Source organism: Homo sapiens, chromosome 6, assembly GCF_000001405.40.
Source record: "Homo sapiens chromosome 6, GRCh38.p14 Primary Assembly".
Classification (NCBI taxonomy): Eukaryota; Metazoa; Chordata; class Mammalia; order Primates; family Hominidae; genus Homo; species Homo sapiens.
This window is the reverse complement of record NC_000006.12, coordinates 40,816,973-40,834,890: the sequence shown is the minus strand read 5'-3', so window position 1 is coordinate 40,834,890 and position 17,918 is coordinate 40,816,973. Positions and strand designations below refer to the sequence as shown.

The 17,918-nt window shown below is 42.1% G+C and overlaps 1 long non-coding RNA gene across 1 annotated transcript in view; it reads left to right on the top strand.

The window, feature by feature from the left end:
• Positions 1 to 9,547: 9,547 nt before the first annotated feature.
• Positions 9,548 to 17,918, top strand: part of LOC105375053 (uncharacterized) — a 30,660-nt gene continuing 22,289 nt past the window's right edge. Inside the window, exon 1 of the long non-coding RNA XR_926790.3 lies at positions 9,548 to 9,808. This is a non-coding gene — a long non-coding RNA (uncharacterized LOC105375053). The remainder of the gene's footprint in view (positions 9,809 to 17,918) is intronic.

Below are 17,918 nucleotides of genomic sequence, written 5' to 3'. Positions count from 1 at the left end.
TGATAATTCATCCTGGGGGAGACTTTCACAAAAATGAGTAAGAATACTCATTTCAGAGGGTAGTTTACTAATATTTTCCCCAAAGCTGGAACCTTACTTATGGCCAATCCTACAACAACTATCTTACCTTCTCAATATGGTCACTATCATAACCTTATGCTGTTCAGTGGCTTTCACTATTGAAATATCTTTTTCCCTAAATGGATAGAAAACAGCCAGCAGGAGCCTGCAACGCTGTTAGAAGTGAGGAATGTGTTACAGAGGACCAAGAACGAATCCTCACAAAAGGTTCATAGATGTCCTTTTCCCCATACAGGCTTTTGGAAAGGGTCCCTTCTTCCCCATTTCCTCAACATAAACTGGCTGGCAACATCAGGCCTCTTAATCGGTCAGGCTTCCTCCCTTTTCCAACTAATAGAGACATCTAGAAGATCTTTCATATTTCAGACTTTTAAAAAGGGTCTGCTGAAAACAGAGGCTGGCTCATGAGAATCCCTGGGAATCTTTTCTACTGGGGGATATTGGGTGTGGAAGAGGTAGGGAATAGTGAATAGAGACAAGATGGAGATTAGAGATTTAAACACACACACACACACACACACACACACACACACACACACACACACACACACACACATACACACAGCAGCCTGAGCTGCTTCGACCCTTATAAACAGATTACAGACAGGTTAGGAAAAGGTGATGCTCTTAAATCTATTGTTGGAGTACAAACACATGTTTGTTTAAATATCAACATGGGCAGAATGGGTCAGGGGTGGCCTTCCAGACAGGACAATGTCACTAGAAACCAAAATGCACTTACACAATGCTTTGACATGTGGAGATTTAAACAAAAGAGGTTTGTGCTGGCTTAGTGTGATTTTACAAATAAGGTACTTATCTGGTTGAGTCACTCCCTCTTATTACTTTTGGAAAGATATACTCCAGGATAGAAATTGGTTCTACCTGGGACCCAAAGTTTTCAGGAGACATATTAACTTAGAGTAACTAAGTCTTAGAGATCCACCTAAAGCACAAGATGTCATGTTAGGGAAAAGCAAGAGAGTATCTTAGACTCTAGGGCATAACTACAAGAAAGGAGTTACTTACCAGAAAATAAAGGCCTTGAAGGCACTGCCTTGCATGGAAGAAAGTATTTTTCTAAAGGGAAATCTTGAATCCAGAAATGGCCTGGGACCTAGAAACAGGAACCAGTCTAAGGACCTGGGCCCAGCAAGGTGAGTGTCCATGCGGAAGTAAATGGGAGTGTCTGATTCATGCAGGGTTGGAGAAGGGAAGACTGGAAAAACATGCTTTCCTTTCCTTATAAACAGTGTATTCACTAATAACTCTAGACTGGTGGAAAAATAAACATAACTTTGTAGCTCTTAAATCCATGGAAATTTCTTACAGATATAGAGAGGGTACCATTGAATCAAACCCTTGCTAATCTGCTACTCCTTGGAAAATACCAGGCTGTTCATTAGCACTCATTGGAGCCACAAGAAACAACTTCATCTAAGAAGGGAAGTGATTAAAGGTAGGTTAAAACAGAAATTAGAGCCTAGGGTGGGCTCATTGGCTCATGCCTGTAATCCCAGCACTTTGGGAGGCTGAGGCAGGTGGATCACCTGAGGTCAGGAGTTTGAGACCAGCTTGGCCAACATAGTGAAACCCCATCTCTACTAAAAATACAAAAATTAGCCGGGTGTGGTGGCAGATGCCTGTAATCCCAGCTACTTGGGAGGCTGAGGCAGGAGAATTGCTTGAACCAGAGAGGCGGAGGTTGCAGTGAGCGAAGATTGCGCTACTGAACTCCAGCCTGGGTGACAAAGCAAGACTCCATCTCAAAAAAAAAAAAAAAAAGAAATTAAAGCCTGCTTCTGATTCAGAGAGCCATGAGCTGTCTCCGACAGGTCTATTAACTGGTAGTACCAAGCACTCCCTAACCCTGGACTCAAGTGAGAAGTCAGGCAAATACTTATTCTTGAAGAGATACTAATTATGGCACTGAATTATGATCATGTTGGCACAGCACGAACTATTCTAGCTAGAGGTATTCCATGACCTTGGCTTCAACATTACATGAGCCAACTCTTCATGCTTGCAGTGTTTAAGAATTAAGTGTGGGTGTTTGTATAAATTATCTGTTCTTCATCGTGTCTTAAGTGGCTTGCTCTTTTTCATTTTGAATTTTCCTAGCAGGGAATTCCCCAGCATCACAGCAGGTATCAGCAACACAGCATCACTCCAGTACACCTGGAGATTGTACTTGGCTTTTTGTGGAAGAAAATGCATCCTTCAACAATCTCACAACCAGTTCCATTCTCAGGCAGCTTGATGTTTTTAGAATGTGGATTTGTCTGAGGCTCCAGGATTACTGGTTGTTGCCTATCATGTTCATATTTGAAATAATAATAGGCAGAGTTCCTCCAACCCCATCTTACTAGTATCAAGGTTTCTGACATCTTCAGTTACTAGAGATCAGCTTCATAAAGCTGTCCTTTGTTGGCAAATACTTTAAACTCCTGCAAATCTTTACCCAGAATAACCCTTAACTGCTTCACAGTCATATGTGTGAAGGCAGGTGACACTGAAAATCAAACCCGTCAGGTTCAAGGGAGGAGGGATAATGAGAATTCCTTTTACATATGTTTGCTACCTGAGCTGAAGCAGTTGCTGTAGCAGGCTTAATCTTTTTAGTTGAAAAGATGCACTCTGCCTCAGCCTCATGAATACATAATGAACCCTCATCAACCTCGCTAATGAGACAGGGGAAAGTGACCAACGCTGCCATATTCAGTTAACCAGGCAGGTAATGTTGTTCCAAATCAGTTTTATCACCAATACATGGAGGTGATGACAGACACTAGGTCATTTCTCTTCTCTTTAATCATTGTAGGCAGAACCTATTTACATTGTAAACACACATAAATGCAGAACTTTCATGAAATCAACATGGTTTTTTAGTTGAATGCACTGACATTTTCTGAAGGCTGGCTTCTTGGGAAAGTTTTTCTGATAAATCTACATCTGTTTCTCTAATGACTAATTCTGAGGTCACTCCAGTGGCCTTTGGTATCTGATATGGATTCCAGAGACAATAATTGATTTTGGGGACTTAGTGATAAACTTTGGTGTTCCTCCATGAGGCTTCACCATAATCATACCCCAAGGGTTCAAACAAGATATAATATTTTGCCAGCTGGCACAGACAGTGTGATTTTGAGAATTTTCAATTTCTAGTCACTCAACCAGAATTAAACGAATTAAACTCTGTTATGAAGCTTACGTTGGAAACAATAAAATATTTCAGTATGGCAGTACATCTTTCTCTTTGCTGCCTTGTCAATTGGCTTTAAAAAGTTTAAAGCCTTTGAAGAACTACTTTATAGATCAACCTCAGTTTCCTACAGTAGTAGTATCGATTTTTTAAGTCAAGCTCTCTAAATTTTGATTATTTTAAAAATAAGGTGGGAAATTTTAATCAGAGTATTCAGTAAAGTGCCAAAGTACTTCAGCTTTTAGCAAAACAACGATAGCAACAATTCAAAATAAAGCGTGCAAACAAGAAAACATTAAAATGTATCCCTACACAAGCAAGAAAAGAACAAAACCTATCAGAATGGCTATAATAAAAAACAGTGACAACAGCAGATGCTGGTAAGGATGTGGAGAAATGGAATCATTCATACATTGCTGGTAGGAATTAGAACTCAAATGGTGTACAAAATTTAATTTTTTAACACTTTTTATGTTGAAATAATAAAAGATTCACAGGAAGCTTCAAAAAACATGTTGATGTGTTGTGCACTCTTTCACCCATCTTCCCTCAATGGTAACATCTTATCTAACAATAGTACAGTATGAAATCCAGGAAATTGACATCAGTACAAGCCACAGAGCTTATGTGGATTTCTACAGCTTTACATGTGCCCATTTGTGTGTGTGTACAGCTCATGCAATTTTACCTGGTGTGTAGCTTCGTGTAGCTTCATGTAGCCACCACCATAATCAAGATACAGAACTATTCCAGCACCATGAGGCTCCCTTGTGTTACTCCTTTATAGACATACCTGATCCTTCGCCCCCATTCCCAACCTCTGGCAACATTATAATTTTGTTATTTCAAGAATATTCTAGAATGTTGTGTAACCATTATACAGTGTATAACCTTTTGAAATAGGCTTTTTTCCCCTCAATATAATTTCCTTGAAATTGATTCACGCTGTTGTGTATATCAATAGTTTGTTCCTTTTTATTACTGAGCAGTAGCGCTGAATGTGCTACAGTGTGTTTAACTTTTTACCCCTTGAAGGGCATCTGGGTTACTTCTAGTGTTTGGCAAATATAAATAAAACTGCTATGAACATTCATGAACAGATTTTCGTGTGAACATCATTTTCATTCCTCTGGGATAAATTCCCAAGAGTTTGGGATTTCTCAGCCGTATGGTACCAACATGTTTAGATTTAAAAGAAATTGCCAAACGAATTTTCAAAGTGGTTCTACCATTTTACATTCCCACCAGCAATATATAAATATATAGTTTCTCTTCATTCTTGCCAGCATTTGGTATTGTCACTATTTTTTATTTTAGCCATTCTCATAGGTGTATAGTGATATCTGCTTGCGGTTTTAATGTACAGAGATGTAATGGCCAATGATGTTGAGTATCTTTTCATGTGCTTATTAACCATCTGTATATCCTCTTCAGTGAAATGTCTGTTCATGGATGCAGCCCATTTTCTTTTTTTTTTGAGACGGAGTCTTGCTCTGTCGCCCAGACTTGAGTGCAGTGGTGTGATCTCAGCTCACTGCAAGCTCCGCCTCCGGGGTTCATGCCATTCTCCTGCCTCAGCCTCCTGAGTAGCTGGGACTACAGGCACCCGTCACCATGCCTGGCTAATTTTTTGTATTTTTATTAGAGACGGGGTTTCACCGCGTTAGCCAGGATGGTCTCGATCTCCTGACCTCAGGTGATCTGCCCACCTCGGCCTCCCGAAGTGCTGGGATTACAGGCGTGAGCCACTGCGCCCGGCCGGAAGCAGCCCATTTTCTAATTGGGCTTTTTGTCTTGTGCTGTTGAATGCTGAGTTATTTATATATTCTAGATACAAAAACTTTGTTGGATATGTGGTCTGCAAACAATTTCTTCCAGTCTGTAGCTGGTGTTTACATGACTTTAAGAGGGTCTTTGGAAGAGCAAAAGTTTTTAATTTTGTTGAGCTCCAATTTATCAGTTTTTCCTTTTTATGGATTGTGCTTTAGGTCAGGTGTCCCCAATCCCAGAGCCATGGTCCTGTACTGGTAGGAACCCTGCCACTCATCAGGAGGTAAGCATTAGGGCCTGGGCTCCACCTCTGTCAGATCAGTAGGGTCCTTAGATTCTCGTAAGAGCAAAAATCCTAATGTGAACCACACATGCAAGGGATGTAGGTTGCACCCTCCTTGTGATAATCTAATGCCCACCACCCTCCCGCCCTGTGTCTGGGGAATAATTGTCTTCCACAAAACTGGTCCCTGGTGCCAAAAAAGGTTGGGGACTACTGCTTTAGGTGTCAGATACGTAACTCTTCACCTACCCATATGTCCTAAATATTTTTTAATTTTTTTCTAAAAGTATTTTGATTTTATGTTTTACATGTAAGCCCATGATACATATGGAGTCAATTTTTATATAAGGTGTGAAGTTTAGGTTGAAGTACTTATTATTATTGGTTTTTGCCTATGGATGTCAGTTGTTCTAACATCATTTGCTGAAAAGACCGTCTTTCCTCCATTGAACTGCTTTTGCACCTTTGTCAAAAATCAGTTGGGCATATTTGTGTGAGTCTCTTTCTGGGTTCCCTATTCTATTTCATTGGTCTGTGTCTAGCTCTCTGCCAATACTGCACTGTCTTGACTACTGTGGCTAAAGTGTCAGCCTTAACATCATGTAGAGTGATTCCTCTCACTCTGTTCTTTTCAAATTGTTTTAGGTATTCTAGGTCCTTCAACTTTCCATATAGATTTAAAAATAAGCATGTGGATGGGAGAAAAACCTTCCTGGGAATTTGATGGAAATTGCCTTAACCTATAGGTCACTTTGGAGATAACTGACATTTTTACTATGTTAAGTCTTCCAATCCACTCACACGGCATGCCTTTCCATTTACTTAGGGCTACTTTGACTTCTGTCTTCAGCATTTTGCAATTTTCAATGTATAGAATGTTTTGTTAGATTGGTATCCAAATATTTCTTTTAGTTTGCAGCAATTATGAATGGTATTGTGTTTTTAGTTTTTATGTCCACATGCTTGTTTATAAATAAACAGGTGATTGATGTTTGTGTGTTCACCTTGTACCTTGGTGAACTCCCTTATTCTAGGAATTTTTTTTTTTTTTAGATTTCTTGGATTGCCTATGTAGACAACCATGTCATCTACAAATAGGGATGGTTTTATTTATTCCATTCTAATGTACATGTCTTTTGTTTCTTTGTCAAGATTTAATTTTTAAGTTCTATAAGTGTGCTTGGGAACGTGTTGACTTTAAAGAATCGTTTGATGAAAGTCCTATTTTTAACTGGACATATTTGTATTCTATATTTTATAGGATTGAAATTGAGAAAGTGTACAGTTTTAAAGTGTTTAAATTCAATGAAACATTAAAAGGCATTAGACAATTTATTTAACCAATTTTGTCTCTGAAAAATATTTGTTAAAGAAAGGTACTCAAAAGAGATAAAAATAAAGTACGCTTGAAAATGGCTCAGTATTTATATATTTTAATTTCAAAAGTAAAATTTAGAATATCATACATTTAGCAGATATGCTCTGGCCTTACTATTATGACCACCAGAAGAGTTAATTGACCTATTCATTCCAAGTTTATTAATCATAATATGCAACTCTGGATTGCATAATATATTGAAATAAATGAATTATTCAGAAAAATACTCATGACAGATAATGGCTAGGCTGATTAACAGATGTGAATATATACCAAAGATAATTATTCTCCTTGCTATTTTTAAATGTTTAAATGTCAATATAAAGCTTTTATTCTGCTTTAATATAGATAGATTTTATTTTTTAGAAAAGATCTCATTTTTAAAAGCTTAAAGAAGTCCATCTTGGCCGGGTGCGGTGGCTCCCGCCTCTAATCCCAGCACTTTGGGAGCCCAAGGCAGGCGGATCACTAGGTCAAGAGATGGAGACCATCCTGGCTAACATGATGAAATCCCGTCTCTACTAAAAATACAAAAATTAGCTGGGCATGGTGGCACGTGCCTGTAGTCCCAGCTACTTGGGAGGCTGAGGCAGGAGAATGGCGTGAACCCGGGAGGTGGAGCTTGCAGTGAGCCGAGATCGCACCACTGCACTCCAGCCTGGGCGACAGAGTGAGACTCTGTCTCAAAAAAAAAAAAGTTCATCTTTTAGGTACATCAATATAATAAAAATCAATGTTGGTTAATATATTTTAACAATATTATAGAATTTTAACTGTTTAAACATCTCCTTTTCCTCTAAAATAGTGCCCTGGCTTGGACATGAAATTTCATGATCCTCCCCGGTATAACTTAACTTTGAAATCACAGGTATGTTTAGCATTGTGACATTCTGAAATGGAACTGTCGATAGAGGTATAAGAATAAGGAAGTATCTGGTTAGAGACCCCTAGAACACTAAGAGAGTGCAGATCCAGAATCATCATAATTAGGAGAAATTAGGGACACACACATGAGGGAGCAGGCCTGGGATAGTGCTCTTTCGGAACTAAACAAACCTCTGGACCTACATCAGAGAGAGGTATCCTATGGCAGTCCTGGGATTCTGCTTGTTATAGAATAGCATGCTTGTAGAGAATTGAAATACAAGATTGTAAATCCAGGGCAACTAAGAAACAAGTTTATTGAACTGGGTGAAGATGCTGGGAGTTCTAAAATTTGCTTGTGGGCTTTTCTCTTTAGTCACAGCAGTGGCCAGTGCTAACTGGGCATGTACAGTGTCCCAAATGTAACACCAACGATGCTGCACCCATTCCCAGGATGCCCCACAATTATCAGACAGTGCGTGCAAAGGCACGGGCCACAGCATCTACCAGGAGTGTCCTTGAAGGAGTTTATAGAATTCTTTGTTTCTGTGTTCAGCCAATGCAAAAGAAGGGAAGAGCTCACTAGTGCTGAAGGCACTAACTTAGAAGAAAGCAGAGACAGGGAAAGTGTGAAAAAGAAATCTATTCTGTTAAAATTTTAGTTGGCAGATTTGAGAGGTGTATTAGTTTTCTAAGGCTACAGAAACAAAGTACCATAAACTGGGTGGCTTAAAACAGCGTAAATTTACTTTTTCACAGTTCTGGAGGCCAAAAGTCCAAAATCAAAGTGTTGGCAATGATATGCTGTCTCTGAAGCCTCTAGGGGAGGAAGGGTCTTTTCTTGCCTCTTCCAGCTTTTGGTAGCCCCAGGTATTCCTCGGTTTGTGGCCAATCTCTGCCTCTATCTTCACACGGCTGTCTTCCCTCTGTCTCTCTCTCTCTCTTCCTTTCATAAGGACACCAGTCATATTGGATTAAAGGCCTGACCTACTCCAGTATGATCTCATCTTAACATTCATCTTAATGATATCTGTACACTCTATTTTCAAATAAAGTCACATTTACAAGTACCAGGGGTCAGGTTCCATACATCTTTTTGGAGATACAATCCAGCCTGTAACAGGAGGTTTAACAATTCCTATCAAGAATCTTGAAGAGGCTGGGCACAGTGGCTCACACCTGTAATCCCAGCACTTTGGGAGGCCAAGGTGGGTGGATCACCCGAGGTCGGGAGTTCGAGACCAGCCTGGCCAACATGGTGAAACCCCATCTCTACTAAAAATACAAAAATAAGCTGGGTGTCATGGTGCCTGCCTGTAATCCCAGCTACTCAGGTGGCTGAGGCAGGAGAATCGCTTGAAGCTGGGAGGTGGAGATAGCAGTGAGCTGAGATCCTGCCACTGCACTCTGGCCTAGGTGTGACAGAGTGAGACTGTCTCAAAAAAAAAAAAAACAAAAAAACAAAAAAACAAAAAAATAGAATCTTGAAGAAACTCCCTTTTCAGTGAAAGAAAAATGTGTAACACTCAGATTGTGGGTACCTTCAGAAATCTTCAAGAAATGTTATGCAAACATAAGATAAAGAGAAATTTGAAATGTCAGAAAAAGTTCCATGAGTTTGTGCTGTCCAGCAACATTGCAATAAATGATATCTTCAAGGTTTTCCTGGGAGAACCTACCACAAGACAAATTTTCTCATTTCCAGAAGAGATATCTGAGTGATATGTGTAGTCTAATTGAATGGAATACAGATGACCAAAGCTCAGTTAAGATAAAGTGACACTGTGTAGTCACATGTGCCATTTGAAATACTTAATACTATTACTGACCCCAAAGAAAATATAAATGCAAGCCAAGTCACATCTCTGCAGAATCACAAGCATACCGGCCAAGATCTCTTTTCTTTTAGAACATTTCCCCAGGAAACATAAAGTAGTTCATATAAATATGCTGACATCTTTCAACAGCTGGAAGGACTCATTCTGGGTGTTAACACAGCAGGGAACTGGAAGAATCAGAACTGGAAGAAGAAGAAGTGATTGGCATGCTGACACGCTGCTGTAAGAATTGCAGTGGGGAACAATTACATTGCTCAAAGAACACTTCACAATTGGAGGGAAGAGAATTATGTCAGTGCTGAAGGATTTCACAGCTGTACTCCAAAACAAACCTGGAAATGTACATTATAGGTACTGGAAGCAAAAGAGTCTATTATTTTGTCTTCTTTTAGGTAAGTGGTAAAGTGCTGGGAGGTGGCAGAAATGATAATTCTAAAGGGGCAATTCAGCCTCCTTGTCAGACTTGGGTCTTGCTGGTTGTCATTTCCATATGTGTCACTACTTCTTTGGAAAAGCAGGGCTAGGCTTCGTATAGAATATAAGCATGAACCCAGTCTGAAAATTTCTTTTTCATTCTACCCAGAAATGATTCTCTTACTATATTGATTTAGGGCTCAGAAAGTTCCTAACATCAATTTGTAGAGATACTTTTGGTATATAACTGAAGGAACAGTTAAAAAAAATCTGATTTAGAAACACTGGATGGGCAAAACAAATTTAAGACTTTGATTTAAGAAAGCCCCTAGGGTTATTCCAAATTTAAGTAAGGGTGATACACAGAACACAGTAACCTAGTTTACTGCTTTACCTTCCTCCCTGCATGTAGACGGGATTATAAGGTGCATGTGCATCTTGTTTGGGTTATTAAGCCTTTGCTCCTTACCTCCTGACCTCTTCCTATATATCCTGCTGTGTCACACTGCGTTGGGACCTTACCAGGTCCAGCCCTCCTTTGCCAGATCCTTCTCAAATTCTGTCACTAGGGGGCACTAGAGGGAGACTGGAAGGAGGCTCATGCCGTCAGGACGGGCTTATTCTTTTTTTTTTTTTTTTTTTTTTTTTTTTGTACTTTAAGTTCTAGGGCACATGTGCACAACGTGCAGGTTTGATACATAGGTATACATGGGCCATGTTGGTTTGCTGCACCCATCAGCTCATCATTTACGTTAGGTATTTCTCCTAATGCTATCTCTCCCCCAGCTCCTCACCCCACAACAGGCTCCGGTATGTGATGTTCCCCTCCCTGTGTCCAAGTGTTCTCATTGTTCAATTCCCACCTATGAGTGAGAATATGCGGTGTTTGGCTTTCTGTCCTTGTAATAGTTTGCTGAGAATGATGGTTTCCAGCTTCATCCATGTCCCTGCAAAGGACATGAACTCATCCTTTTTTGTGGCTGCATAGTATTCCACGGTGTGTATGTGCCACATTTTCTTTATCCAGTCTATCATTGATGGACGTTTGGGTTGGTTCCAAGTCTTTGCTATTGTGAATAGTGCCGCAATAAACATACGTGTGCATGTGTCTTTATAGTAGCATGATTTATAGTCCTTTGGGTATATACCCAGTAATGGGATTGCTGGGTCAAAAGGTAATTCTAGTTCTAGATCCTTGAGGAATTGCCACACTGTCTTCCACAATGGTTGAGCTAGTTTACACTCCCACCAACAGTGTAAAAGCATTCCTGTTTCTCCACATCCTCTCCAACATCTGTTGTTTCCTGACTTTTTAGTGATTGCCATTCTAACTGGCATGGGATGATACTTCATCGTGGTTTTGATTTGCATTTCTCTGATGACCAGTGATAATGAGCATTTTTTCATGTGTCTGTTGGCTGCATAGATGTCTTCTTTTGAGAAGTGTCTGTTCATATCCTTTGCCCACTTTTTGATGGGGTTGTTTGTTTCTTTCTTGTAACTTTGTTTAAGTTCTTTGTAGATTCTGGATATTAGCCCTTTGTCAGAGGGTAGATTGCAAAAATTTTTCCCATTCTGTAGGTTGAGGAGGGGCTTATTCTTTTCTGTTTTGAGTTTGGTTCCTATAATAAACAGTTGCTTCTCACCCAAGCAACTGTTTGCCCCAAGTGGTGGCAGTTGGTTCCAGTTCTTTTCATACTTCCAGAACTAGACTCACTATGCTCTCTTAGAGCCACCTGCCCAGCCAGTCAGTGCCTGTTACTTTGATGCCTGAGCCTGGCATGCAGGGACCCTCGTCCAAGTCACCCAGACACCATCAACAGCCTCAATGGCATCTGACCCTCTTCAGAGCTGCTGAGACATCAGCACCTTTCCCTGAGCTTCTAAAAACCCCATCCTTGCCCCCTTTATTCTCCTGGCCTGGAGGGTGTCGCTGCAGTGGTCGCCTTTGCCTTTTCAGCTCTCCAGTATCTGTTATCTAATTCCTTTTGTGAAATTTCTTCTGTTAACAAACTGATGCTGAGTCTCTTTTCCTGACCTCATCCTGACTGAAAGGCACCTATATCTTCATACATGCTCTCTGCTTACTGTTTATGTAGCCATGGTGTTCGATGTGTCTGTAGGTCATTTTCTGCCACGTAGAGCAATAAGAATTAGATGGATGCATATGTTTTTGCACAGAGCTTAAATACATCATCATGCAATCTGCTTTGCCTAATCCTCGATCCCTCCCCTTAAATAATGCTCTGGCGTGTTTAAATGCTGCCTGACCTGAGGAATCTTTATGGTGGGTACTCAGTCATTAGCTGAGTCATTATATTATTACATTTCCTGCATGGAGAGTGCAGCAGCAACTTCAGATAACAGCTTTGAAGAATGCTTAGACCATCTTCACTTACTTCTGTCTCTGTCCTAAAACTCAGTGAATTATTGTCTTGGGATAGTTGAAGCTAAATATTTGAGACACAAAAGATTCACTATTAGGTACTAGAGAAAAGCTGCCATAATAAAAGAAAAGGACCACTTTATTAAATACCAACTAGGGCAGATCATTCCTGGGATTAGCATAGTATCATAGGAGATTTGCTCTTCACGCTAGTATCAGACTACTCTGTGATTTAATCCACATAGTTGCAATGTAGGGAGCTGTCAGCCAAGAGTATCTTGGGAACCTTTTATAATGGCTATAAGATGCAGATTTAGGAGTAGTACTCCTTCACATGCATGAATATGAAATATCCAGTGGTCTATTTGAGCAGAAAGTTTTTACTCATAGAAAGAACTTGTGCCATCTCTGAGAGCTTTAATGAAAACAAACCTTATAAACTTGGACAATAAATCATAAACAAACTTTGATCAGGTCTACACGACCACCATTAACAGATTCTTAGAGATTGCAAGCCTTCCAAATCAACACGTAAACAACCCAGAAAAAATCAGTGGGAATCCAGATTAAGCAGATCTTACACGGAAAGCAGACATTGCACTAAACAATTTTTATGCTTAAAAAAGAGAAGGGGTAAATGTAGTCATCAATTGTGAGAATTTTGTAGTTGTTTGAAGCATTATCCTTGGTGTCTCTGGAGTTCCAGAAGAGCTCAAGTGCACAGAAAGATTTCTCCACAGCAACTTGAAATCACAGAGCATTTTACACCAAACTTAGAGATACAGATGTATCAGAATGTAGATGTACCAGAATTTGCAGTAAATGAAAGAAGCATATCTATATAATGTAACTAACCTCTATTTCCTTGTCTTTGACTTCTGAGCTGGTCATTTCTGCCCAGCAGCAATAGATGCATCTGTGACCTTTCTGCCCATTTTCCATGAGAACCAATGCACTCCTCTTGTAAATACTTCCAAGATGAGAGTTGGAGCATGGGTTTGAATAGTAAGCACTAAGCAGTAGGACTCCTGCACTCCCATCACCTCTCTTGATGATGAACTCTCCCGCTCACCAAAGCTTTTCTGGTTCACATCTTGTACCACTGTACATAACTGAAATGTCCCTCGCCTTTCCATTCCCTCTTCACCTCCCATCTCCAGGAGAACAGAAAATTGCTCCACTCAATCCTATAAATCTAAAACATACTTCACAGCTCTTGTTGCAAAGTGTACCACGTGTAATTTATTACCACCACTTGCATGCCTTGAACACTTCTCCCACCTTCCAGAAAGGTTAGAACCTGTCCTGTGGTCTCTTCATCCTGCCAGGTGGGCATCCATAGTCACTTCAATATCCTTGTTAGTGACCTTTCTAGAATCCTGGTTTCCTGTTGCCATGCCTCTTCAACTACTTTCTGCTACCATGGGCAAAACCATAAGCTGGGCCTTGACAGATACCTTCCACACGTCCGAGATCTCAAAACTTAGGCTTCTCTTTTGACCCTAACTCCTGCTCCTTTTATTAATCTCAACTCCAAACTGAACTGCTGCTGAGCTCTTATATACTCTCACTGCAGTGCTGGGCCTCGGCTTCCTCCAAAGTCTCCTTCCAGCTTCATGATGTCCTTACTCCCCTTGCACACCTGACACCACCTCCGTCAGCCATTTCCCTTTGATAGCACAGAGATCCTCTTATCCTTTAAAGGGTCTGGCTCCTGTCCTAGTCTGTTAGGACTGCTATCACAAATTTCAGACTGGATGGCTTATAAAGAGAAATTTATTTAAATATATTATCGCCAAATTTATTTTTAAAAACAAATTTATCGGCTGGGCATGGTGGCTCACACCTGTAATCCCAGCACTTTGGGAGGCTGAGGCGATTGGATCACAAGGTCAGGAGTTCAACACAAGCCTGGCCAACACAGTGAAACCCCATCTCTACTAAAAACACAAAAATTAGCTGGGCGTGGTGGCGCGTGCATGTAATCCCAACTACTTGGGAGGCTGAGGCAGGAGAATCGCTTGAACCTGGGAGGCGGAGGTTGCAGTGAGCCGAGATAACACCACGGCACTCCAGCCTGGGTGACAGAGCCAGACTCCATCTTGAAGCAACAACAACAACAACAACAGCAGCAACAACAACAACAAAAACAAATTTATTTTTCACAGTCCTGGAGGCTGAGAAGCCCAACATCAAGGCTCCGGCAGATTCAATGTCCGCTGAGGGCCCCGTTCTTGGTCCATAGATGGCCTTCTTGCTGCACCCTCACATGGCAGAAGGGGCAAGGCAGCTCTCTGGTGCTTCTTTTATAAGGGCACAAACCCCATTCATGAAAGCTCCACCCTCAAGACCTTGTCGCCTCCCAAAGGCCCTGCCTCCTAATACATCACATTGGGGGACAGGATTTCAACATATGACTTTGGGGGGCACACACACTCAGAGCTCAGCAGCCCCTGATTTGCCAAACCTGAACCCTGGTCATGGGGCACCTTGACCTTCTGGATACTTTCTCAGCCTGGGACCACAATACCCAACATTTTCTGAGAATGGCCCATACAACTTCATTTAGCCGGAAGACACGAATCTGAATGCTGTCCTCTGACCTTTTTAAGCCCTCTTCAAGAGGCTCTAGTCTTTATGCTAAGCTGCAAATGTGCTCTAAGCACCTCCTGCACTGACTACCCTACTCCTTTCCCTTTTTTTCCCCACTCCTGCCTCCACCTTTCTCTGCCCTCCATCTTCAACCCTACTCTGCAGACAGAGGTAATGCCCAATCATCTTAGACCTCTCCAAGTTAATGACTTTAAATTCCCAGCTCGTCAGTTTGGTGGGTCTCTGTACTCTCCTTCACCCTCCTGTCCTGTCGCACAAGAAGAGGAGCTCCTCTTTTGGGCCAGCTTTTTTCCAAGGCTCCTACTTCAGAACACACATCCACATTTTCCTTCCACCTTGGAGCTATTAACAGAGCAGAACCATTCTGCCATCCTCCGCTCATTGAGTTTACCGACATCACACGTGTTAGACAGTTCCATCCCTATGTGGCTACATTTTCTGTGGATCCCTCATACACCCATATTTTACAACTGGTCCTCCACCAGGAAAACTCCTGACCAGGGAATGAAATGATTCTGTCTGCCCCATGCCAGCCACCTTTCTGGCAATGCATAGTTGAGTAAGCAGGCTGCCCTGGTGAAGGGTCTCTTCACTCGCCCTTCAGTGGCAGGTCATTAGGGAGCTCACATTGTCCCCTGGGGCTGATGCAATCTCAGGGACATCAACCCCCGCCCCCGGGGCTGATGTCATCTCCAGGGGCATGCCAAGTGTCAAATCTTGGCAGGAAACCTAGCTTCTAGTGCCAGTCTCAGAAAGCACTAGAATGTGGGTACCATGTTGTCTCGGTTTTTGGTGTTTTGCCTGCCTGGCCCCCTCCCACGTATCACAGGAGCCACCCTGGGGCCTAAGATCCCTGGCAGGGGTCTTGACCTTTGGTCCAGCCTCTGAAAGTCATGATATAGAGTAGGGATTAGCAAACATTTTAGGCTTTGAGGACCAGAGGCAATTGTGTAGGAACTTATATAACAAGAGAAAATGACAACCTCTCCCTGCTTTGTTTGCCTGGTGTGGGCCATCCCAGGGGGTAGGCATACTTTGTGCCCAGTTGCCATGCCAAGAATGTCAGCTAGAGACATTCTTGGAGGAAGAGCACAGGTCCTGGGAGGAGGAATGGCTCTGGAGGGTGGGATCTGAGTGCTACTGGGGCAGAGAGTGAAATTGACCACAGTGGCTGCTTGGCCCCACCTGCAAGACAACATGCCTTGAATTTATTTCTGAGAGTGTATTGACTCCCACCCACTCCTCTTCCTCAAGTCATATAGGCCACATCAGTGTTTGGGACCCTTGGCAGGGCCTTGTGCCTTTGTGACAACTCCAGAGCTCACCATGTCGCCTGATTCTTTGAGGACAATATTGGTTGGCTACCACTCCCCACATCACCTGTCATCAGGGGGTCTTGATTTCTGAGGTCAGCCACTGTAGTCATTGGAACATAGTCACTGCATTAACTTGGCTCTTGCCACAGATATTACCCGGCTGCTTAGCCCCCTTCAAATAACTTTAAATCTCCCCCAAATTAATGGCAACTCCATTGACTCAGACCCTAGGCTTGGGGCCTGGGGCTTTGGTGCCTGTCTCTACACCCATTAGAGAGGAATGTAAGCCTTACCTTGTTTCTTCCCAGAGTGTGTTGACTGTCCAGTCTCCCACATCCCTGGGCTTACCCCAAAACCACAGACCCTTGGCAGGGGGCTGGGCCATCAGGGAAACCCAAGTAGTCATGAGAAAGTAGTCCTCACATTGCCTTGGTTCTTCTTAGAGTTCATTGGCTCCCTGGCCCCTGCATCCTTAACATCACTAGAATCCACCAAGGCCTGGAACTCTTGGCAAGGTGCTGAGTGCCATCCCCAGATGCTATAAGAGCTGCACTATGGGTTGGACATGATGGTTCATGCCTGTATTTCCAGCACTTTGGGAGGCTGAGGCAGGTGGATTACTTGAGGCCAGGAGTTCAAGACCAGCCTGAGCAACATGGTAAAACCCCATCTCTACAAAAAATACAAAAATTATCCACATGTGGTGGGGTGCACCTGTAGTCTCAGCTGCTTGGGGAGACCAAGGTGGGAGGATTGCTTGAGCCCCAGGCTTTGAGGCTGCAGTGAGCTGAGATTGCACCACTGCACTACAGCCTGGGGGACAGAGCGAGGCCCTGTCTTAAAAAAGAAAAAAGAAAAAAGAAAAAAAAAGCTGCACCATGGTATAAGTGGCTAGTGAGCGCTTCAAATGTTGAAATGTGCCTAGTTCAAGTTGAGATGCACCAAGCTACACACCAGACTTTGAAACTTTAGTCCTAAAAAAGAAATGTGAAATATCTCATTAATATGTTTATATTGATTACATGTTGAAAGGATATTATTTTGGCTATATTGGGTTATTCAAATTAATTTCACCTATTTCTTTTTACTTTTTAATGTGGCTACTGAGGCACATGTGTAAAATGACCCACGTGCCTCCGTTGGGCAGGGCTGCATTAGAGGGTCATCGTGGTTTGCCTTGGTGTTTTCCCACACCACTGTGGCCACAGGAGGGACTCACCCTTGGCAGTGACAAAGCATCTGGTGCCAGCCCCACAGCGATGAGGGTGGCCTCTGTGCTGCCTGGGTTCTTAGAATACATGGGCTGAATGGATCGCACGTTGCAAGATTTAGCAAATAAAGATACAGAATGCTCAGTGACATTTAAATTTCAGATAAACAACAAATAATATTTTGTAAGTATGTTTCATGCCATTATTTGTGGTTTATCTAAAGTTCAAATTAGGCTGGGCATTCTGTATTTTATCTGTCAATTCTGTGAGTTGGGCTCCACATTTTCCCCATGTTCTCCTTATTGCTGGGGCCACACCAATGACTCCTTGGAAAGGGGCCTGAACCATGGGTTCCAGCCACAAAAGACCTTGCAGGGAAGCCACTGCATTGCCTTGGAAATTCTCAGAGTATCGTGGCTGCCTGGGCCCCTTCGCCCTAGATCCCTGGGGCCACACCAATACCCCAGAAACAGAGCATTGTTTTCACACTGCCTTGGTTTACCTAAGGTGTATTGGCTGGTCTTACTGGACCCTGCTTCACTGGGTCAGCACTAAAGCCTCA